This window comes from Homo sapiens, chromosome 18, assembly GCF_000001405.40.
Source record: "Homo sapiens chromosome 18, GRCh38.p14 Primary Assembly".
Classification (NCBI taxonomy): Eukaryota; Metazoa; Chordata; class Mammalia; order Primates; family Hominidae; genus Homo; species Homo sapiens.
The window spans coordinates 38,116,460-38,142,281 of record NC_000018.10 but is presented as its reverse complement, the minus strand read 5'-3'; the positions used below and the strand labels follow the sequence as shown (position 1 = coordinate 38,142,281).

The following is a 25,822-nucleotide window of genomic DNA, read 5'->3' as shown; positions in this document are numbered from 1 at the left end:
TAGATTCTGAAAAGCATATGATAAAATTCAACATCCATTCATAATAAAATATTTTAGCAAATAATAAATGGAAAGTAACTTCCTTAATCTAATGCATAGACATCAGTGGAACATCCATAGGTAACAACAAATTAATGATAAAAACCTGAATATTTTCCCCTAAGATCCGAATAAGTCAAGTATATTCGCTCTCTTTATTTTAATGTAATATTGTACTGGTAGTTCTATAAATAATTAAAGAAAATAAACAGCATAAAGTTTAGAAAAACTATTAAAATAGACTTCATTCATGAACAGCATGATCATTTGTGTAGAAACACTAACAAATCAATAAGAAAAATTTCTAAAAGTAAGGAAATTAAACAGAGTTTGGAACAAAAGGTCAATATAAGCATAGCACGCATATCCCATATTCTTGGAATAGTAGGGTCAGAAGACACAATACCTTTAAGACCAGAATACTTCTGAAATTGATCTATAGATCCAATGCAACTGCTAGCAAAATGACAACTGGCCTTTTTCTTGTCTTTTGAGGAAAAGTGAAAAGAAATTAACCAGCTAGTCTAACATTAGCATGAGGATGCATGAAATTCAAAACAGCCAAATCAATCTCGAAAAAAGAACAAAGTTGGAAGATTCACACTTTCCAATTCCAATAGTTAACACTAAATTATGGTACTCATGATAATGTAATACTAGGATAAAGATAGGAGAGACACAGATGAATGGAATAGAATTGAGAGTCTGTAAAAAAAAAAAAACCTTACATTTATAAATGCATATTAATAGAGACAAATGCACATAATAATTGAAGATTTCAACACTCCTCACCCAGCAATAGACAGAACTGGTAAACAAAAAACATATCAACAAGGATTAAAAAAAAATTGAATAATACCATCAACTAACCAGAACAATTTGACATTTACATAGTACTCTATCAACAATAGAATATACATGAAACATTCCCCATGATAAGTTATATTTTGGGTCATAAACTTTAACATGTTTAAATAAACTGAAATCATACAAAGTATATTTTCTGACCATAATGAAAAGAAATAACAGGTCAATGACAGAAAACATGAACATCTCCAAATAATTGAAACGTAGAAAACATGGTTATAAATTATTGATACTTCCAGGGAAACTAGAAAACTTTTTGAACACAAATGAAAATACAACATATCTAAATTAGTATGATACAGCTAAGGCATGGCTTAGGGGGAATTACATAACATCAAATACTTCTGTTAGAAAACAGTTTCTTTGAATCAATAATCTAAGCTTACACCTCAAAAGACTATAAAAAGAAGAGCAAAATAAACCTAAAGAAACTATAAAAGGAAGAAAAAATAAGTCCGAAACAAACAGAAGGAAAAAAATAACAACTAGAAACTGAAAGCAATTACATAAAAACCAGAAAAACAATAAAGAAAATTAATGAAAACAAAAGCTGGTTCCTTGAAGAGATCAAATGAATTAATGCACCTCTAGTAAGAAAGCAAAAGTAGAGAAGAAACAAATTACCAATGCCAGGAATGAAAGGGGGAAATCATAGAGACATCCTTTAATAGGAGAATGGCTAAATAATCTGTTTGTCCATATAGTGGCATACCACACAACAACAGAATGAAATAAATCTATTTCTGTGTTAAAATTCAAAGAAATGCCCATCAGAAAAAAAATTCAATTTTGCTGAGACAATTTTAAAAACTAATTTACATTCTACAAAAATATTTTACCATTTTTACAGTTCATTTTCAAAGATAAATTAATATTTATTTCCTCAAATTCTCAATTATTATTTTGCCTTAAAATGTTATATATCCAATTATCACATATCTTTTAATTTTTATTTTTGTATTAAATGTAAAATCAGGCACTTGATATATCTATTCTTTATTTGGATTTCTTTTTTGTGACTGTACTTAAATTGTTAGCTCTCTTCTTTCCAAATTGTATTATTTTTTCTTTAATGCATCAAATTATTCAGTGATTTTCAACATCTGTCTTTATATCTCATTTAAGGTGGACTTCTTTGTTTCAATGTTAAACAATTTTCTACCATATCACTAAAAATTTTAAATGTTCCTGTAATCACATTATTTTTTACACTTTGACTTATTATCTATAAGGCATGCATAAATATGGAAACTTACTTTCTGTTTTCCAAATACATTTCCAAATATCCCAAACATTTTTTTTCTCTGTCTACTATTTCTATACTGATTTAAAATATCAGCTATAACTAGGTACATTTCCACAATAATATGAATAAATTTATTTGTTTTTTTCCTCCATTCATCTATCTTACAACAATATCAATTGTTTTAATTACTAACATTTTTAATATGTGTTAATATCTGGAACACTACTCATGTTATACTTTCTGGAAAATATGTTAAATAGACAGACATTTTCTGTACCATATGTACTGGAGAATTTACTTGGTAAATTTATTTTAAAATGTTGGTTACCATTAAAATGGATTGTTCTGCTTGAAAGTATCAAATGTGTTATTTAATTTGGGAAAATGGATATTAGCACCCACATCTTCTCATCTGGGAGCATAAAATGACTATTTGTAGTTTTTAAAGCCCTTCAGTGAAGATTTAAAATGTTTGTAATATGTGTTTTATAATTTTAATATAATTATTTCTATGTGTTTTTTCTTTTACTTGTTTGCATGTTTTCACAATTAGGGGTTTAAACACAATGAAATCTCTTGTGTATTGAAGAGTTGTTGGCACCACCATTGGTTTCCCGCTCCCCCAGTCAAGAGGGAAGCCCTAACACTCCATCCCTTGCCTACTGAGGTCCAAGCAGCTCTGTTGACTAATGCTGATATTTTCAGAGGATGTGTTATTTGAGTTACATGGTCCTTCTAGGCTCATGCTTTTTTCCAGATCACTAACAACTTTCTACATTCATTCATCTTCCCAGACACTTCCCAGCTTTTCTTTCTCACTGATCTATTATCAAAAATACCTTCTATCTCCCTATTACAGAAGCTATCATTATGGCAATTGCTATTTTTATACCTCCTCACACTGTTATAAAGATGTAATGATGACATTATCTTGCTCTTTCTAATGTCATTAATAACTCATAGCTATCATACTAATCATTAATTACTACAAATTTCATAGTATTTCACACTGAGCCAGGACACCTAGTTCTATAACTGCAGCTTTAATTGGGAACTGGAACAAGAAGTAGATCAAAGTGGAATTTAAAACGTGGGGAAGTTTTCCTGGCAGAAATGTGATTGCAGCAAAACTGCAATTGTGATCTGGGTATGTGGATGGAGAGGGGAACCAGAGAATGAGGGAGGAGATACCTGTTTACGGTCTTCTGTCCAGATATCTTCCTCAAGCCAGCCCCTGTTTACTCAGAGCAATCAGGAATCTGACCCCAGATAAAGTCAGCCTGGCCCTTGCCTTCCGGATACACACCTGAATTGGTCTTGCAAACCCAAACACATTTTATAACAACATTCTCTTCCTTAAAAGCCTTTGTGAAGGTCATGGCCTCTAATTCCCACATGCTGAGCTCAGTCCACTTCTACAATCCTGTATCCGACGTTTGCCTGTCCTATGCCTCTATCCCACACAGCTCTCTCATTTCCCCACAAAAGCCCTTGTTCATTACCACAGCTACACTTTCACTCATGCTGTTCTTGACTTCCCCACTGTCTCTTCTGAATCTCTCCAAGGCCAGGACAGGTTCCATGTTCTCTGTAAAATCTTTGTCATCATCCGAAGCTGTAATGCTCCGCAGATCATATACAGAACTCTCCATTAAAAGCAATGATTTGACAGGGAGCAAACACATCTTTTCTAAGTGCATGTTTCTTGTTGCTTCTGTGAGGTTTACACTCAATGAGGGCAGGGACCATGCATCAGTTTTGCCCTGTACACATGAGAAGCATGATAAATTATACAAGTCATATGAAACAGCATGCGTAAAAGATGGATGAAGAGAATATTTGCCAAAGGGTTATCATGGACAGCATTTTCTATTAAAAAATAATAAGCACTTGATAGATTCTAGTAGTAAGTGTTATGCTCGCAATAAATAAGTATTGAACATCTACTCTATGCCAAATACTATTCTAAATATAGTTTTAAACCACAAACATTTCTTATCCTTGTGGAGTTCACATTGTTCTTCTATTAATACTCATGGTGTTAATAACTACAGTAATAACAATAGTAAAAATAACAATGAAAGGTCTCATTTGTTCCATGCTGCGTATATTTTTCCAACATTTATTCACAGCTATGTCATAAAAACACTAGGAGGTGATTATTATCATGATTTTCTACAAAATGAGAAACATTAGGAGGAGAATAGGCAAGTCACTTTTCTCTGGGCACTCCTTGGTACATCTAAACATTATTATAATGGTTCTAAAACATCAGTGGGTATCTGAGTCAGCTATGGTCCTTGCTAAAAATGCCAAAGTCTGGGCTATAGCTCTCAAGATTCTCCTTCAGTTGGTCTAGAGTGAGGAGTGAGGCTAAAAGGAGAAGCACATATTAATAGATACCAATGGTTTGATTAAAAGGTATTTGTGTTTGTTATCTCAAGATTGTGAGATTATTAAATGGAGATAGTGGAGTCACAGCGTGTCCCTGAAGAGTGACGTTGCCATAAAGTGATAATTGCGGTAGATTGGAAATCATAGCTGCAAGGTTTTGAAGCTCTTCCCAGTAAGAGAGGAAATCCATTTACCCAGCCCTGGCCTTGGCCTGGCCTTTGGACTTGCTTTGTCCAAACAGATGGGGTGAAATGAAGTTGTGTGAGCTCTGGAATCAGGCACGTAAGAAGCACCAACTTCCATCTTGAGTTGATTTTTGTATACATGTAAGGATGAGGTCCATTTTTAATCTTCTGTATGTGGCTAGCCAGTTATCCCAGCACTATTTATTTAATAGGGAGTCTTTTTCCCACTGTTTGTTTTTGTCAGCTTTGTTGGAGATTAGATGGTCATAGATGTGTGGCCTTATTTCTGGGTTCTCTATTCTGTAGCTTTGGTCTATGTGCCTGTTTTTGGACCAGTACCATGCTGTTTTGGTTACTGTATAGAATAGTTTGAAGTTGGGTAATGTGATGCCTTCAGCTGTGTTCTTTTTGCTTAGGATTGCCTTGGCTATTCAGGCTCTTTTTTTTGGTTCCATATGAATTTTAAAATAGTTTTTTCTAGTTATTTGACAAATGTCATTGGTAGTTTAATAGGAATAGCATAGAATCTGTACATTGTTCGGAGCAGTATGGCCATTTTAATGATATTAATTTAACCTATCTATGAGAATGGAATGTTTTTCCATTTGTTTGTGTTTTCTTTGATTTCTTTGAGCAGTGTTTTGTAACTCTCCTTGTAGAGATCTTTCACCTCCCTGGGTAGCTGTATTCCTAGGTATTTTATTCATTTTTTGTGGCAACTGTGAATGGGATTGCTCCTGGCTTGGCTATGCTTGGTGTATAGGAATGCTAGTGGTTTTTATACATTTGTTTTTTTTACCCTGAGACTTCACTGAAGTTGATTATCAGCTTAAGGAGCTTTGGGGCTGAGACTCTTTGGTTTCCTAATACAGGATCATGTTGTCTGCAAACAAGGATAGCTTGACTTCCTCTATTCCTATTTGGGTTCCTTTTTATTTCTTTCGCTTGCCTGACCACCCTGGCCAGGACTTCCAATACTATGTTGAATAAGAGTGGTGACAGAGGACATCCTTTTTTGTGCTGGTTTTCAAGGGAAATTCTTCCAGCTTTTGCCCATTAGTTGGCTGCGGGTTTGTCATAGATGATGGCTCTCATTATTTTGAGGAATGTTCCTTTAATATCCAGTTTACTGGGATTTTTTAACATGAAGGGATGCTGAATTTTATCAAGAGCCTTTTCTGCATCTATCGAGATAATCCTGTGGTTTTTGTCTTTAGTTCTGTTTATGTGATGAATCACTTTATTGATTTGCATATGTTGAACCAACCTTGCATCCCAGGGATGAAACCTACTTGATCATGGTAGATTAGCTTTTTGATGTGCTGCTTGAATCAGTTTGCAAGTATTCTGTTGAGGATTTTTACATCAGTGTTCATCAAGGATAATGTCCTGAAGTTTTCCTTTTGTGCTGTGTCTCTGCCAGGTTTTGGATTCAGGATGATGCTTGCTTCATAGAATGAGTTAAGGAGGAGTCCCTCCTCCTCAATTGTTTAGAATATTTTCAGTAGGAATGGTATCAGCTCTTCTTTGTATGTCTGGTAGAATTTGGCTGTGAACCCATCTGGTCCTTGGGTTTTGTGGCTTGGTATGCTATTTATTCCTAATTCAATTTCAGAGCTCATTATTGGTCTGTTCAGAGAATCAATTTCCTAGTTTAGTCTTAGAAAGATGTGTGTGTCCAGGAATTTATCCATCTCTCCTAGGATTTCAAGTCTGTGTGTACAGAGGTTTTTGTAGTAGTCTCTGATGGTTATTTTTATTTCTATGAGGTGGATTAAAGACTTAAATGTAAAACCCCAAACTATAAAAGCTCTGAAAGACAACCTTAGCCATACCATTTTGGACATAGGAATGGACAAATATTTTATGACAAAGATGTCAAAAGCGATCACAACAAGAGCAAAAACTGACAAATGGGATCTAATTAAATTTAAGAGTTTCTGCACAGCAAAATAAACTAGCAACAGAGAAAACATGTAACCTACAAAATGGGAGAAAATATTTGCAAACTATGCATCTGACAAAGTTCTAATATTCAACATCTATAGAGAACTTAAACACATTTACAAGAGAAAAACAAACAACCCCATTAAAAAGTGGGCAAAGGGCCGGGCACGGTGGCTCATGCCTGTAATCCCAGCACTTTGGGAGGCCAAGGCAGGCAGATCCTGGCTAACATGGCGAAACCCCGTCTCTACTAAAAATAACAAAAAATTAGCCAGGTGTGGTGGCGGGTGCCTGTAGTCCTAGCTACGCTGAGGCGCAAGAATGGCATGAACCCAGGAGGTGGAGCTTGCAGTGAGCCAAGATTGCACCACTGGACTCCAGCCTGGGCGACAGAGCGAGACTCCATCCAAATAAATAAATAAATAAATAAATAAATGTGGGCAAAGAACATGAACAGACACTTTCAAAAGAAGACATGCATGAGGCCAAGAAGCATATGAAAAAAAGCTCAACATCACTGATCATTAGAGAAATGCAAATCAAAACCACAGATACCATCTCACACCAGTCACAATGGCTATTATTAAAAATTCAAAAAAATAACAGATGCTGGAGATGTTGTAGAGAAAAGGGAATGCTTATACATTGTTGGTGGGAAGGTAAATTAGTTCAACCATTATGGAAAGCAGGACGGCGATTCCTCAGAGAGCTATAACAGAACCATCATGTGACCCAGCAATCCCATTACTGGGTATATACCAAGAGGAATATAAATCATTCTACCATAAAGGCACATGCACACAAATGTTCACTGCAGCACTATTCATAATAGCAAAGATACGAAATCAACATAAATGACCATTAATGACAGATTGGATAAAGAAAACATGGTTCATATATACCATGGAATACCATGGAACCATAAAAAAGAATGAGACCATGTCTTTTGCGGGAACATGGATGGGGCTGGAGGCCTTTATCCTTAGCAAACGAATACAGAAACAGAAAACCAAATACTGCATGTTCTCACTTATAAGTGGGTGCTAAATGATGAGACTACATGGACACATAGAGGGGAAGAACACACACTGGGGCCTACTTGAGGCTAGAAGGTGGGAGGAGGGAAAAGAACAGGAAAAAATAACTAGTGGGTATAAGGTTTAGTAATGGGATGATGAAATAATATGTACAACAAACCCCTGTGACATGAGTTTACCTATATAACCAACAAGCACAGGTACCCCTGAACCTAAAATAAAAGTTAAAGAAGCAGCAACTTCTATTTTCTGGGGATGCTGCTGCTACCCTGTAGGAAAGCTGAGCCATGTCAGTGCATGGTAAGGAACCCAGGAGGATAAAAGTCCAGTGCTGAGGCCCCAGAAATGTGAACAAGGTCATCTTGGACCTACTTACCATTGTAGCTGCCATCTGATTGCAACCACATGAGTGAGCTTTTGTTTTTTAAGCACGAAGATTCAGAGTGATTTTTTACACAGCACTCAATAACTGAAACCAAAAATCTGCAATTAACAGCATAGTGGGCCATGTACTCATCTGACCCCAAGCCTGGTCCACATTTTCTTCTATACTCCTGTAGGTGCCATGCCTCACTGCTCTTCCTAGGGTATCAGTTCCATGGAGCCAAAGGAGATGAAAAGGCTTTGAATAAAAACTAAATCACAAAATTACATAGGAGCACAGTGTATTGAGTATATCCCTCAATTTCCTCTCCTGGGGCTCTATTGTAATTACTCTCTCACAGGCTGTTGTTATAATTTAAGACTTGCTTCAAATATCTGAGAATCAGCATGCACTCAGTCTCAAAGTTAACTCTGGACCCTGAAGCCCACTTTCAAATGACCTGCAAATGGACCATTCTTGCAGTAATTCAATTATTTGGACATCCACTGGGCACCTATAAGGTTTGGAAATTTGGCTTGATAGAACTATATAAAAGCATAAATAAGTTTATATTTCCCCCAGGGACAATTTTCTGACCCACAGCTTACTCCTGGTGTCAGAGACCAAGGCTGCATCCCCAGTGCCCTGAAGAGCGGATTTGCCAGATCATCCCAGCTCTGCTGTCCTTCCCTGCTGTGATTCTTCCCACAGCTCTGCTTTTACTTCATGTTCCCCATGAGCTCCTCCTCTCCTGACACATGCTGCCTCTTCCCTCAATTTCCTCTCCTGGACCTCATTTTCTGCTGTTTTAACTTCCACATTTAGTTCTACACATGCTTCATCAATAAATCTCTCCCACTCATTTATCTCCTTGAGTGTCTCCGATTCTGTTTCCATCACTCTCAATCTCAAGAAAATTCCTCTTTTAGAGTATGTTTCGGCATCTGGTGGAAACTGGATTAAACCTCTCTGGTTCTCTTCAATAACATAATCCCATCTGCCCTACTTGCTGGTCACAACCCCCTCTAGTTTCCAAGTTACTGTTTTCCAACCCCTGACAGCAGAAACATCACTAATGCAACACAAGAGCTGGGTGAATTTCATTCTTTACAGCCTAGGGCTGCATTAACTTCTCCAAAAAAAAAAAAAAACCAGCTAAGATTAAAAATAAAACCTTGAAACACCTACACTCCGTCAAACAATCAGTTGTTTTTAAAGTTTCTTTTAGATTTACTTCATATATTAATCAGTAATCAAAATTAAGCATCAAATGTTGTTTGAGCATCTTAGTCTATAAAGACACTACTGTGTGCTGGGGAAGAGACAATGTCCAGAAATCACCCATGGCCTCCAGGTACTTGAAAATATAACCAAGGGGGACAGGATTGACACATGGCAATATAGCTGACAGTCAAAGGCCTGTATATGCTAAATTTCTAATGACAAACTTGTTGAAAATGAAGCCATTACACAAAATTATTAAATCAACCACTAGGACCATCAATAACATGAGGTCTAATCTGGGCTTGTTGCTAGTTCATCTTGAGAAATAAAAAACATATATCTTCTTTGGGTAAATTGATTAGAAAATGGCACTTCTTTCTCTTTCTTTGAATACAGTTGCTGACCTGCGCCTAGCTTGGCAGATGGAGGACCAGAAGACTTCTGTCATCCCTTTGCTCTCCAGCCTGCACCCTCCCTGCAGTATACAACTTGCACAAACTTCCTCTGTGATGTTTCTGCCCTGGGTGCAGGAGGGAATCCAAAGAGGGAGCTTCAGAGGCTGTGGAACTTCCTGAAATGGAATGCAAATTGTAGTGTTTTACAAATCTATGCTTGTCCTCCGCAGAGACACCATAGTTTCCTCTGAATTCTCAAGAAGTTCATAGCAGAAATGCTTAAGAATCACCACTCCAGACACATAACCTTGTAAGACCCTCAGTCTTAGAGTTCACAGACCTGGTTTTGCACTTTCATTTTTCAAACTGTGAGCTGAATGACTTTCTCCAAGTGAATTGAACACTCTTTGTTTTCCTTTTTTGTTGTTTTCATGTTGATGTTGTTCTTGCTTCATGCACATAGTACAAATAAATATTCTTAGTGGGTTTAAACTCACAATGATAGTCCTTTGCTCTCATTCAGGCCATTCGAATGCCTGAATATAAAAGCTTAACTCATGATATTTAACTGTTTTCATACTTCAAGTAGTACAGAAATTTCTGACTAAAAAGCAAAAATATGCATTTAATAGGTCCAAGAAGTTTTTTCTGCCTCCTCCCAATTCTGTCTACATACTCCATTCTCCCTTTGGCTGAAGTCTAAAGCTTCCATTTTAAGATTTCCATTTGGTTCTGTGCCCAAGGGTGAAACTGTATCTCCCCACCTACCACTCTGCAGTGAAGGTGAAAGGACCCTATACCAGTCTTTTCTTGTCCATCCTTCACTCAGGTCTTTACTTCATAATCTACTCAGTATAATTTCCATGGAACTTAACATATAATCACTCCCTTGATAAGATCTTATTTCCCTTGCCCCTTCTATCACAGTCACTGGGGAAATCCTCAATCTGGTTGAACCTATCCTTCCACCTGTTTAGTGCCTGTATCTAAGCAACTGGTACAAACCGTTACTGGAGAGAGTAAAAATTTCTACCACCAATTTGGGAAAAAATTTGGCATTATCTTAAACTTGTGTCTACTCAATAAGCCAGCAATTTCATTCTTAGGTAAATAACTCAGAGAAATTGCATACACACACCAAGAGATCTGCATGGGAATGGCCATACAGCATTTCTGTAATAGCAAAAACAATAAAAATCTATACACTGAATGGAAATAAATGAGTCACATCCCTAAGCAACAATATGGATGTAGCTAATAAATATAGTATGGGACAAAATTAAGTCACAGAAGAACACATTTAATATATTTTATAGCTCAAAGCCAGGCAAACTAAGCAACATTTGGTTTAGGGCTACCTACACATGTATATGGTGACTACACAAACACACACGTGTAGGAGAGAGGTATAATTCAGAAGACTCGTTATATCTTCAAGAAGGAGAAGGCAGAAAGAGTCATGTAATTACTGGTAAGTTTTATATCAACTTCTTTACTGGTTTCACTTTAAAAATATGATCACACACTTCAGGTGGGCCTTCAGTACTATCCAGAGATCCTCTTACAACCCACTAGTGAATTAACTCTCCCACTTTTTAAGATGGATATAGAATTTTCTTCCTTTTCCTTTTTGTCAAACCACTAACACCCCCTTCTCATTCTCACCTTTAAGAGATTAAAAGTTAAGCCAAATATGTATTAATTCTGAAATTTTTCTTATTAAAATCCCATACTTTAGCTTTTTTTAGGTCAATCATCTCTTTAGAAGCCTAGGATAGAAAAATAAAGTTAACTTAAATAATGGTTCATTCAAATTTGACTATATCTGAGGCTTAGTGATTAGAGGTGACAATTACTCCATTCTGTTCTCCCCAAATTTTAATCTATGGAAAGAATTGGCACAAGAATCATTAGCCAAAACAAGACTAAAAATTTCGGCTTTATTAATCATGTAAAAACAGTGACTAACAAGTAGGATTTGTCGTAAACTGTGCTAAAAGAAATGGCTAAGGTTTGAGGACTCAAGTAGGATATCAAATTCTGTTAACAATTAAGTAGAGTCAGCTGAGCCCACAGGACTGCATAAACCTCATTTACTCACTAATCATGAATGGGGAGGCTAAAGGTATGTTCTGAGGGAGGAGAACCTCCAGTAAGAGGGAAGGAAGCAGGTGAGAACCCACTGCACTAATGACCAATCCAGGAGGCAAGCAGGGCCCAGGCAGAGTCAGGGTAAAACTATTAGAGGCGTTTGAACCAGAGTGACTCCATCTTGAATAGGGGCTGGTTAAAATAAGGCTGAGCCCTATTAGACTGTATTCCCAGGAGGTTAGGCATTCTAAATCACAGGACGAAATAGGAGGTTGGCACAAGGTACAGGTCACGAAGACCTTGCTGATAAAACAGTTTCCAGTAAAGAAGCCAGCCAAAACCCACCAAAACCAAGATGGTGATGAAAGGATGAAAGTGACCCCTGGTGGTCTTCATTGCTCATTATCCACTGATTATAATGCATTAGCATGCTAAAAGATGCTCTCACCAGCACCATGACAGTATGAATGTCATGGCAATGTCAGGAAGTTATCCTATATGGGCTAAAAAGGGGTGGGACCCTCAGCTCTGGGACTTGGCCACCCCTTTCCTGGAAACCTCATGAATAATCCACACCTGTTTAGCATATAATCAAGAAGTAACAATAACTATAAGCAGCTGAGCAGCCCCTGCTCCTCCTCTGCCTATGGAGTAGACATTCTTTATTCCTTTACTTTCCCAATAAACTTGTTTTCACTTTACTCTATGGACTTACCCTGAATTCTTTCTTGCACAAGATCAAACAACCCTCTCTTGGGGTCTGGATCAGGACTCCTTTCTAGTAATCAAACCTGTGGCTTATAGTCAAGTCCTAGCATCTGACTCTGACTCATCTCATTGGCTGCTCTTCTTTCCATGGAGAGGGGTCAGTGAGAAGAGAAAGGGGAAGGCAGTGTGTAGTTACTTCTCCCATCTTCTCAAAAAGGCACAAGAGTTGTGAAAAAGTTCCTCATCTCTGGTTCAGGGGAAAGAACATTGGTCTAAGGTAAACAGCCTCTTTTATCAACCACACCTCACAGCACGCTTTTATTTGCTAACCAGTGTCATGTTAATTGTTTTGTTTTTCCTAAGGTCTTTGAGTTTCTCTGAAGAATACTGTAATTTATCAGTCTGGAGCCCCTCAGTATGTTATCTGGGTTTCAAACATTTTAGTCATAAATGACTTGATCATCTATTGTTTTCTGTATTAATAAAAATCACAGATGTAATCATCATGTTCAGAGCAAGAGATTAAGATGTGTATCATTTGGGAGAGGGAGCTGATCCTAAGCTGTTTCCTACCAGTGATCTACAAATTTGGTTTTGTTAAATTTTATTACCTCGTATTTTGCTAGCTCCTCCATGTAAGCATGTTTTCCATTCTTTGCCTCTTTCTTCTTAAATGGGGAACGAACAATTCTAATTAAGGATTATGGCTCATTGGGTCCTGGTTAACTGAGGCTTTCTTGTGAATTGACAAGTACTCCACTGTCTCTTCAGGCACAAGGCACATTCCCCAAAATGATTCATAATAAGCAAAGGACTTATGTGCCTTTCAGCCAGAGCTTGTGTGAATCGCATCTGAGAAATAAATAGTGCTCTAGCACAATTCATTCGCCAAGCAGGGCTTGGTCTCCTATGACATCTCAACTTGGGACAGCAAGCAAGGAAATGATAGGAGGCAGCTGGAAACCAAGCATTTAGTGCACATTTGTTTAGCCCCTATGTCTAAGGCAATTTGATTAATTTAGGGCAGGAGAGGAGGGAGACATAAAAAGATGTAAAACAGCCCCTGCCTTCAGAGAGCCTTCTCCTAAAATGAGATAGAAGCACTGCAAAAATCCCACAAAAGGATGGACTGTGACAAGGGTCATTATGGAAAAGATTTCAAAGACAGTAGAGAGAACATTCTCTTGTTGACCACCATTTTCCATCTCCACATAAAACTGCCCTCCCCACCTTAGTCTAATGACTCCACTTCTTAGAAGGGGCAACTGGAAGAAAAGCATTGTTTAAACTGCAGCTATTAAGTTGGGACTATGCTACTATGTAGTAGCTCAAAAGAGAGGTAGGCAATAGTAATTTCTACAATAGAAGAGAGTGTGTTACCAAGCCAGTTTCCTTCCACTCATGCACAAGCAATCACTGAAACAATGGGTTCTACAAAAGATAAAATATCTCATTCACAAGGCTGCTATACAGGAGAAAAAAGTCTCAAATCTGCCTCCCCAAAAATAGAGCTTGGGGATATTTATGAGACAGAAAGTGGGGTGATCTAAAGTGTGCGGTGATCTAAAGTGTGGGGCAAGGTGATTGGTGGGTAGGAAAGATGAGGTAATCAAGGTTTCTGCATAAGCTTAATTGAGCTACATGGGTCTTCATAGGATACATGTGCAGAAAATGGCAGCGTGTTAAGCATGACTTAAGGGTGGAGGTTTTGGTCTTCTGACTTCAAAAGGTCACTTTTCAGGCAACCACCCAGGCCCAGTTAAAGGTCAGTGGCTTCAACCAGTTTGAAATGGACAAGAGATGCCCTGTAGTTCCTGAAAAACAACTTGAAGCAACTGTTTACTATAGTACCCCACAGTTGGAGATGTTATCTATAAGGAAGCTAGTGGGAGTTTAGTTATGCACTGTTTGGCTATGTGACTTGCTAGTGTTAGTTTTAAGATCAACCAAAAATAAGCAATTAAAAGCAAGCAAGGCAGATTAAGTTTGGAAGGCTTAATCAGGTTAGCCTTTGTTTTCAAAACTGTGACTTAAAGATTCAGAGAAACAGAAAAAATTACTGGAGAAGTCAGACTTAGGAGATCTACATGGGAACCATGGCTTAGAGTAGAACCTTCACTAAGACAAAAAATGCCAAGGGTTTGCATTGCCTTCTCAGTGTTAGTTTATGAAGTTGAAAGCAAAACTGCATGGCTGATGCTTGAATGTAATTGGCTTTGCAGTTATGGATGGGTGCTAAGGCTCCTTCAGGTGGGCTGCTATAATGAGCTGGATTTGTGATTCTGTGAAGGCAGATAGTATTGATGGGTGAAATTTAATAAAAGCACATGCTCACCAGTTTACATTCAATTAGAAACAAGAAATAAAGCTTGATTGTTGACCTCTTTGTGTCCAATTAGAATTGAAAGATTAGAATGTAGTAGACTGATTGCACTGTTTTTAGAAGTTAATATAAACTTTGCTGAGACTTTATTTTATTTTGGTTGTAAAAAGCAACAAGCTAAAAAAAAAAAATCACAAAACTTAAACATTGCTACCCCTCTCCTAAGCATTTCTAGAACTATTATCAGTAATAGAAGATCCTAGGATAAAACTATAGATTCCTATTGGCCCCTCAGAAGCTATTAATAACAACCAAGCCTAGGGACAAGATCAGAAATTACCTGATTGTATACTTCATGGTGGGTGTATTTGCCTAAGAGATTCTGTATGTGTTTTATTTGGGAAGTGGGGAGGAGGAGGAGGTGGTGGGGGTGGAGGGGGGCAGGTAAAGAAAACTGCCAACTCACAATAAAAGTTAAACAAGACTTGGCCTTTTGGAAGTGAGATGGCTTAGGCAACCGGCACTGGTCACTTTTGTTTTGAAATGTCTGGAAGTATTTTACGAAGTCTGCAGGGGCTCTTCACTGCTATCCTTGACCTGGTTCCTGTCATGCAAAACATTTTGGGTTTTAAATACCTTAGCTCTAATGGGTGCCCAATTCATGTTCATTGAGTGATTGCATGAATGAACGTATGAATTAATAAAAAGCAAAGTACTGAGAACTAATCAAGCAGGTAATATGGCTACATGAAAATGCTGCCTTTTGTTTATGGTTTATTTCATGTGGAAGAATCTCCTCTTCCTGGTGAGATTTGGAACTACAAGAAGGAATATGACTTCATTTGCTTCTATGCCCCTTCTCCAAAGAACTTCTCAGCAAATGCAGGTGATTTAGATTGTAAAACAAGTAAAAGGAAGTAAAAGAATCAAATTCAGTGGTAATTAAGTACTTGTACTTTTTCTTTCCTGCTCTTGTGCAATTCTCTGTGAAAATCTCTCTGTAAGACACCATGAGGCTGAGGGCAGCGTTTCAACAGTGGAATGAAATGGAAGTAAGAGCTCAATTCTAAGTTCTGTAAGGGCAGGATGATGAGTGTCTTGTCCAGGGTGATATTCTCAGCACCTAACAGTTATCTGTATTTGTTTAATCGTTTTTAAAAAGAAGAACGTATGAAAGGTAAGAAAGAAGAAATAGATTTTAGTCCTATATGAAGCAAAGGAAATGTGGTTCTTAATATTTTTTAAAAACCCAATGCCCCTGCTCTTTTTTTCTCCTGTACCCTTTCTTTTTGGGAAATTGTGATGACTTCCAAAGTATGGCAGTCATGGGCAGAAGTAAGTCAGATAATTCCCAGAAGCAGTATTAACTTTGCAGCTCAACTCTTCTTGTGGGCCAAGATCTCATTTTGTACTAGTAACCTCAAATCTGGAAACCCACCATACTCCAAAAATTATGGGAGAATGGAATATCTCTGTACTTGCTTTGGTTGAGATGAAACTAGCTCCAGATTTGCTCCTTAAAAACCCTCCTCTAATACCTTTACAACTGTATAAAGATGTAGTTTTCTCTTATTTGGACTACTTCTGTTTCAACAATCATTTCCAGAGCTTTAGAAAAGATAAACAAAGCCCAAATGGCTCCATTGTCAAAGCTAAACTTGCCCACCAGTGCACAAGCCTCAGAATAGAAAACGGATAGTTATTTGAAAAAGAAACATAAAACTCTATTCTCTGATACCTTCCACACAACCCCCTCACTAAATCATTGGAGCAGGTTGCCTGTTGGCTCGTTTCATCTTAATTTTATTATCTGGGGATAATTGAACTCCAAGAGGATGGATGACTCATTAAGACTCAGGTTTTTCTGGCTCTAGATTTTATAACTTTGTATCTCTTTTAAACCAATAAATCTTCATGTTATAACATTGAAAATAGTGTCAAAAGACAAAATTACAACAAAATTTAGTTTAAAGATTTTAATTGGCTTTTATTTGTGATTCTAGAATTGGCCAACACCTCATTCTATAAAATAGAATGAGTGTTCCCATGAGCTGAGCAGAGAAGTTTGGTTTTATGGACCTAAAAGGGCTGAGTAAAGCAGAAAACAGAAAGCGGATTGGTTATTTCAAAGTTACTTTTCTTATAAAGACTAAAGCAGAAAGGACTTCCTTATCATGCTGGCTAAAACTGGCCTGTTTGGTGATTTGGCTATTACCTACCTCTCTCCTGATTGCTTGGAAGGTCAGATAAACAATTTAGTTCCCACTTGATAACGTACAACTTTAGCGTGAGTGACTTCATTTTGGTTTGGTTTATTGAGCTGCATGTAAGAGCTCGGTCTGACCAAAGACCTATAAATTATATTTAACAATAGTAATGATTCATTGTTCTAATGTCTATCTTATAACAACCTAAAACTTTAAGAGTAAAATTTAAAATCTGGATTTCAACTGAAAGTCACCTCACTGGTTTAAATAACAATTGTTAAAGTCAGGTATCAAATCTGGGTACTTGACTGCTAGGCACAGTTCATTATAGCCTGTTGGCACTTACTGTATAACTCAGCTTTACAAGTAACATTTACCTTTCCAACACCAAAGCAGAGTCCCATCATCAAATTAAAAGGAAAAAGTAGCTCAATGAAATCACACTCAAAGCAGAAAGAACTGCCAGTAGCCTCAGAGTAAGAAAAAAAAAATAGAAAACTTTAGAAATTTTCACATGAATTTCAAAAACATAGCACTAAGCTCATTAATACTGGAAGCAAATTGCAAACTGTATAAAGTAGACAGCAATAATTGTTTTTAAAAGACACACTGTGTTTAAGAAATTGGAGGTATACAGCATGTTGTAACAATATACTCATCAAAACCATTAAACCTTTTAACATTATGATAAATAATTGCTTTGAACGTATTTTACACATTTTTGGCAAATGTTACTTATGTACATTTGCACAATAGTGACTGAAAACAGAGTTTAATACATAATTTATAACATTACATATATATGAATGCATGTATTATATGTACCTTCCTTCTTCTTTAATTATCATTGCCCTCTGTAACTTTCTGGCTCAGTTTCACTTGAATACTTTCCATTCATCCATTCTTGGCTTCATTATGCATCCTGTTTAATCCACAGTGTGGTTTTCATATAGGAGTTAAGAAGGACTCACTTAGGCAGATAGTAATGGTATGAGAGTCCTCAGTAAGGCTTTTCCCTTAAAGGAAAGGCAGACCAAATCATTTTCTAACAAAGAGCAACCTACAAAGTCGAGCTGCAGACGAGACAAGCAAGCTGGGAGCTTGCACGGGTGAATGCCAGCAGGAACTAGGGACTAGACATGTTCAAGATGGTGGCTTCATCCTCCCTTCTCTGCCAGCTATGCGTACAGTAAGGTGCAAACAAGATGGTGCCGCCCAAGGAGAGTTCATTTGCACAATAAGATTAGGGTGGGGCGATCAGCCTTCCCCTCCCCTCCCAGCACTATGCAAACATCACACCTGATCAAAACCAATCTGTGAGCCCTAGGTAAATCAGACACTGCCTCCTCAAGCCAGACTATAAAATCTGGTGCACCCATCTCTAGCCCATCTTTTCCAATCAGAAGACCCCTTTCTGTGGAGAGAGAGAGAGTTGTTTCTCTTCCCCTTCTCTTCTGCCTATTAAACCTCTGCTCCTAAATTCCTCATGTGTGTCCATGTTTTCCTGCTGTGAGACGATGAACCCCAGGGTTTATACCCCAGACAACATAGCTGCTTTAGTTTAAGCCCTTTGGGTGCTAGTAAATACTGAAAAGAAAAATTTTTTAGAAACCTGTAAACCCTGCTGTTTCACTAATTACTTCTTTGCGTTTCCTAGTCATTAGAAGTGGCCATTCCAAACACAGGATGTCACCAGATACTGAGGAAGGATTGCACAATGGTATTACTGGTCCAGGGAACAGTGAAAGATTCCAGGTGAGCACAATCTTAGTGGAGGTGGAGTTTTGGGTGCTTAGGTGAATCAGGAGAAGAAATAGGACCTACCCTGGGGAGGGCCAGAAACAATCATGCAGAACAGAGTTGGAGGAAGTTGCAGTAGGAGGAAGGATGAGGGTCATGAGTTGCTTTTTAGGACAAAGCAGAATTTCAATAGCTACCTATGGCACCCTAAAGATTGTAAAGCTTAGAACTAGGGATAATGTGGAGGGCGAGGGACATGCTTTGAATTCACTGGCAGAAAAGCAATTCTGCAACAATTATAACTTACCTTATTATCTTCCACCATATAATCTAAAACCCACAGTTGAGAAATAGATGCTGTCCACATATTCCCCTCATGTCCAAAGACACATTTTTGAGGGGCAATTGGCAATGGTTGAGGTCTCTTTTTAGTTTCAGGGGAAAAACAGTTTGTTGGAGCCAAGGATAGGGAACAGGCTTTTCCCAAGTTAGGAGCTTTCCCCTGCCTCCTACCCCCAACAATGTAAAAGTATCTAGCCATGATGCTGTCCAATGACTTTGATATGCTGAGTTAATCAGCCATGAGTTAGTTGGCTGCTGGTTTTCTTTGCCCTAAGGACTTGAAGGCCTGCAGTGGTGCACAACAACGTCTTGCTCTTGAATAGAGTATGCCAACTGCTGTTTGCAGTTTGACTAATCCTAGACCCCTAGTCATGACCAGCTGTCACTTTGGAGAGAACAGTTTTAGAATAGGAGCTTGCTGAGAACAGTGTCTATGTTAAAGAAAGGATTTGATTGCATCATTTTTGGTTCTTTGCCTTTAGAAGCCAGAGTAATTGAATCATTGTAGCCCTTCCTCCTACTCACCAAGTTCTCCCAGCTCAGATATCAACTCCTGTGGAAAGCCTTTCTTTATGTCTAAGTCTATTTTGGATATTTCTCCTCTATGTTTCCATGACATTATAGTAGTTCTCATATCTTCTTGTAATTAACTAAATGCTTGTCACATTTAGAATGCTATCTTGTTCCCCACTAAGATGTGAGCTTCTTTGTGATAGAAACTAAATCTTTTCCAGTGTTGGATCCCTGGCTCCTAGGGCATGCAATAAATATCTGTTGAATGGGTGGATACCCGAATCAAACCATCTCCATGTCTGCCTGCTCTCTTTATGCATTCACCATCTGGCCCTGGCCCTGATTCCTAATTTACTCAGATTGTGGATGATGACACATGTCATCATATATATGTAACCAACCACAGTCTGCTCCCAACCTACTTCTTCCTCAAGTTCAGACTCAATCACCACCTCGTATAATGAGCCAGGCCTGACTGCCGCAGGCCAAAATGATGTCTCCTTCCTCTGACCTGCAGCACTCATTATTTAAAATGTATACAAATAGCTCTTTATCACACACTTTCTTTAGTGTGATGCCTGTGGGTCTGGTGTTTGTGAGCACCTCACACATAAAGTCCATGTCTTCCCTTTCCCTTTTATTCCTCTGTGCATCTAAGCTCTGAACCGGGCACAAAGAACACTCCAAAGTGGTACCGAATGGCATGAAATTGTCCTAATCGAAATGAAGACATAAGTTCTGAGGGCAAGCTTTTTGTCCACAGAACTCTACCTGTATTTGCGCTACAGAGGCTGCTTCCTGGTGATGAATGGAGCCACTAGGCAATGAATGTAGGAGAGGATGGAAAGTAATTGGCAGAGGCAGAACTGTCCTTTTGTTATTTTGTTATAAATAAACTCCCACAGTGGAAACTTGTTAACCTCAGTCCTTGCCTTCACATCTACTTATATGCAAGACCTCCCTTGACAAATCAATCTTTATACTGCAGTGGCACTCTCTTGACAAGATATGTTTGGCTTAGCCACTGTTGATATTTGTTCTTGAAATCTCGGTTGTGTGGCATGGTACACTCTGAGAGCAGAAATGGAGACACTTAGTTTATATGCAAAGAGGACGGGCAAGATGCAAACAGAAAGAGACAGTCCACAGCAGGGCAGCAGGAGTGGCGGGAGCTGAGCAGCACTTAATATGTTGTGATGTATTGAATCTATGAAACGCCTGTTCAATAGCTAGTCAAAATAAATTTAGAAGGACACAGGAAAGGGATTTATTTTTTCATCACTGTATAAATGTTCGTTATATCTTATGCTGTTGGTCATGGTCTACCTGTGTCCTTTGGAGGTCCCAGTGCCCTTAGACTCCCAAATAGCACCATTGACAAGAAATAGGTGAGGTTTATATTTCAAGTTTCAAGAATCGAGGTGTTATGGGCGGCACTTTGGGGTTGAGCTTTTTTGCTGGATTTTAATCTCTGAAAAGAGAGAGCTCCCCCAGAATAAATTACTTAATCTTTTCTCTTCTCCTCTTGTGCATAACTTTATTGGATCATTTCCCAAATTTGACTGAGATCATTTAAATAAATGTCTGTTTTGATCATCAGACAGCATTTGCAACCTAGACTGAATCTTACTCATTTATGTTTCCCAATAGAGTAGCAAGGTGCCCAGCACATAGGAAACTCTCCTGAAATGTTAGCTAAAGAAGAAATCCTAATATCCATGAAAAATTGTATATGCAAGGGAGAAAACGAAAAGGTAAACAAAAACTATTTTGAGCCAACTTAAGAAAAATGCAGACAATATTAGATTATTAATTAAATTTTAATTTTCCTGTAAACAGTCTCCAGAGAAAAATGCTGTTTTAGCATGGTACCCTAGTCCAGGCTACTGTGTAAATACTTTCTGTGGGTGTAGTTTTAAGCTAGATGGCATGGAAGAACAATTGAATAAAACGTGGCCTCTGCCAACAAGAATTTTGGGTGCCATCTGGAGAAACAAGTTTCAATAAAGGACCCAAAGCATGAGGTAGAGTATGATGATAGGCGAGATGGAGGAGTGGAAGCAATATGGATCAAAGGAGGTCAAAATAGGACAAGATTACACGAGCTAGTACAATTAAAGAAGGCATTAGGAGGAAGTAAAACTGCATTGCAGTGAACTTCTAGTTGATAAATGACATGTGGGTAAGCATTAATTGAATCATGCTGCTATTTCATATAAGATTCAGGATGGGAATGTTAGATATTATATCTCACAAAGGAAGTGTTCTTCAGTGGTGTTGATGAATCCTTAGATCATGAGAGTTGCCTTAGGTTTATCAGTGAGCAATCTTGTCTTTAAAAAGACAGTTTGCTGTTCTGTAAAGGAAAAGTGTGCTGAGTGTACAGACCTTGATGTTAGGCTTTAAGTCTACTTTTAGCTGCATGACCTTGATAAAGTTAACCATTCTCTGAGCCCCACTTTCTTTTTTTAAAACATTGGCAACAGGAAAAAAAACCTGGCCCGACTTGACCTCAGGACATGGAAAGACTTAGATTGTCAGAGAAAGATCACTTGTATAAAGACAAGAAGTCACCTCATCCTTTGGCCTTTTTCAGACCAAGACTTAGATTAAAAGTGAAAGAACTGCATGATTTCTGCTCTTCCTCACAGCACTAATTTTTTAGGCATTCAGGACACTTTCTCCTACCCCTCAAATTTATTTCCTTTTGGCAGTGAGAAATTCTTAGAACACATTGAAGCATTTATGCATGTACATTTTAACACATAGAATAGGGTTCTCCCCAAGTAGAAAGTTACGTATATGGTACAGGATTGGGGTGAATGTCAGAAGAACCTCGATTAATGGGTATATTGCCAATTCTATTTTTCTGCCAGTCTTTCAATTTGGGAGGTCACTAAGCCAATATGGGTAGGAGTGAATTCATATTCTGTAGTAAATCTGCAGTAAATGGATGTCTGAAAAGTAGCAAGAACTGAAGTTGGGACTATTCAGAATAAGCCTAGAGAAATCTGAAACAATGTGCATTTAGAGCTAGTCCCAAAATATGTGACTAAATTCCACTTTTAAAGATGAGTAAAGAGAAAAAACAAAAAAACAAAATAGAATATGAGAAGAGAACCTACATAGAAAACCTCTGGAAATTACCTCCTATAGAGTCAAGAGATTGACTTTTTCACTAGGCTGCAATAACGTAGGATCTCTTCTAAAAAGAGCAGTGGCCATAAGGGTAAACCGACCAAGCTAAGATGCAAATACTAGAATATAAAAAGAAAGAAAGAAAGATGGATAAAACCATTTTTGTACATAAGGAAATAAAAATAAAATTAAAAAGCATGGTGGAGCATGCATAGAAAATAACTGATTTTAAATGGCAAAAGATTCAACCACTGTTTTGAAGAACAAATTTGAGAAGCTACCACAGATAGCAGAGATCAAAGTTCTGAAGTAGTTCATAACTTACAGTAATAATTGGCTGAGTACAATGGCTCACATCTGTAATCCCAGCACTTTGGGAGACCAAGGCTGGAGAATTGCTTAAGCCCAGGAATTTGAGACCAGCCTGGGTGAAATGGTGAGATCCTCCATCTCTACAGAATTTTTTAAAAATTGGCTGAGCATGGTAACACATGCCTGTGGTCCCAGCTTCTTGGGAGACTTATGCAGGAGGGTCACTGGAGCCCAGAAGGTTGAGGCTGCTGTGAGCCACGGTCATGCTATTATACTCCAGCCCAGATGACAGAGCAAGACTGTCTCAAATAAAACTTTAATTTAAAAAATAATTACCCAAAATGAGCCAGAAATACACAGATAAAAACATTTCTAAAAAAGAAAAAGAGCAATGAATGCAGAGGAAAACACCAAAGATATGCTGGGGGGTAAGTCCTCAGCTCTAGAAAGTGATGTACAAATTGAAAGGCCCAGAGGTTTTAGGGTAAAGTCAATGAAAAACATCACATTTAGATTCACATCTGGTAATTTCCTTGTAAGTACAAAACTAAGAAAAATAGGAAACTGGAGAAGTAAGCAGGCAACATTCAAAGATATAAAATTTATGTTGCCTCAAACTCATATTTGCAAACCAAAATGCTGAAGGTGGAGGAGTGCCCAAATATTAATGGCTTTTCTAGAAACAAGATAAATGGTATAAAAAAAGATAATTTAATAATAATGATTAGCACATGTATTCATCTGTTCAGGCTGACATGACAAAACACCAAAGACTGGGGGTGGCTTCAGTAATAGAAATTTATTTTTCCGCAGTTCTAGAAGCTGGAAGTCTGAGATCAGGGTGCCAGCGCTGCTGAGTTGTGGTGAGGCCTCTCCTGGTACAGATATCGGCCTTCTTGCTATGTCTGCACGTGGCCTTTCCTGTGTGTGTGCAATGAGAGAGATTTTTCTCCTCCTCTTCTTGTATAGCCACCAATCCTGTTGGATTAGGATCTTGCCCTTATGACCTCATTTAACCTTCATTACCCACGAAAAGCCTTATCCCAAATACAGTCACATGAGGAGTTACAGCTTCCACATATGCATTTGGAGAGGGACACAATACTAGCAGCATAAAAATTATATGAAATAAGACTGAATGAGAATATCAAAACCACATTATATTCTATAGCCTATAAATGGTGAGATGCAGAGGTAGTTTGTCTTTTAATACTGAAAATTAGAGAAACATGGATTAAATAATAATATTGAAAAATGTAAAGGTAACCATTAGTTATGAATAAAACCTTCTAAAATATGTAAGAATACAAAAAATATAGCACATATAGCAAAAGTTAGAAAACAAATACAAGGGGAGATAGACTGAACCAGGAAAATATAACAAATGCAAATGGATACAGAACAACTATACAGTTATTCTAATAGGGGTAAGTTATCATTACAATATATAGGCCTATATCTGTTTTGAAAAATGCTTATAAAATATCCTTCAATGTTAAGATAATAAAATAATTGAAACTTAAAAATGAGCAAAGACATGTTAAGTAAATTAAAGTGAATGAAAGACTCATGATAATAAATAAATCCCCCAAATCACAGAACTATTTCCGAGTAATAAAAATGCCCTTCACAATAAAGAAAGACCTGAGGGAATTTCATATGCAGTGTAGTGAGGTATTGATACACATCAGCCAAATTTTCAAACTACAGAAATATTTTACAGAAATGTAGTAGTCTTGGGAGAGTTTGCCAAAATGTATAATCCTTCATAGACTCAATGAGCAAAATAATTAATAAGTAGAAATACGTATACAGAAGAGGGACATGATAACATCTGTTTTTATAAAGACAGGAAATGTTTCATATACACAGAAAGGGGAATATACCCACTTTTACAATAAACACTGAACATTTACCAAAATTGGCTATGGCAAAGATTGTATTATTTTATTACTTGTACTGGATAAAAATACAGTATGGCAATATAATGGTTATCATAATCACTAGTAATCATTCTGTCTTCACAATATGCCAGGAGACATGCACTTCATGTATATTAGCATTGTCTGTACCTAATAACAATGCTATGAAATTTATGCAATTACATCTCTATTTTACGTATGAGGACATTTAAACAAATATTTTTTCTGAGTTGACATGGCTAGTTACATGTTAAAATCAGTGCTTCTCAAATGGAGTGTGCATCAGAGTCCTGTGGTGGGCTGCTGAGTCCCACACTCATGAGTTTCTGATTCAGAAGGTCGGGGGTGGGGCCCAGTAATTTGCATGTCTAATAGTTTCCAGGTGATTCTTATGCTGCCTGCCGGTCTAGGAGCCTGCATGTTGACAAGCACTGTGTCAGATGATGCCAAGAACAATACCTTTACTATACTGCTTTGGAAAAGGAGAAATTGCAGAGAGCAGGTTCTGACAAAAAAAATGCAATAAATTTAGAAGTTTATAATTAGCAAAGCTAAAAAAAACAGTGCTTGGAAATTTAATTAAAAATTAAAAACAATCATTCCCAAGTTAATCAATTTAATGCATTTCCAATTAAAATTCCAATTGGATTTTTTGCTTTGAACTTGACAAAATGATGGTAAACTCCATGGAGATAAATAATAGAAAATAGTAGTCAAGAAAAATTAGAAAAAGAAGAGTATTTGGTAGGAACTTGCCTGTATATAATAAAACATCATAGATTTCCATACAAGATTGCATACCAAATAGGTTTTCACACCCAGCTTCTC

At 37.5% G+C, this 25,822-nt stretch overlaps 1 annotated feature.

Moving 5' to 3' along the window:
* Positions 12,478 to 12,710: a silencer, noted in NCBI's record as "fragment chr18:35709536-35709768 (GRCh37/hg19 assembly coordinates)". NCBI's record gives its function as "represses an EF-1alpha promoter that drives an FKBP-Casp9 reporter gene in an ReSE screen in K562 erythroleukemia cells {active_cell/tissue: K562}" and the evidence as "EXISTENCE:reporter gene assay evidence [ECO:0000049][PMID:32094911]".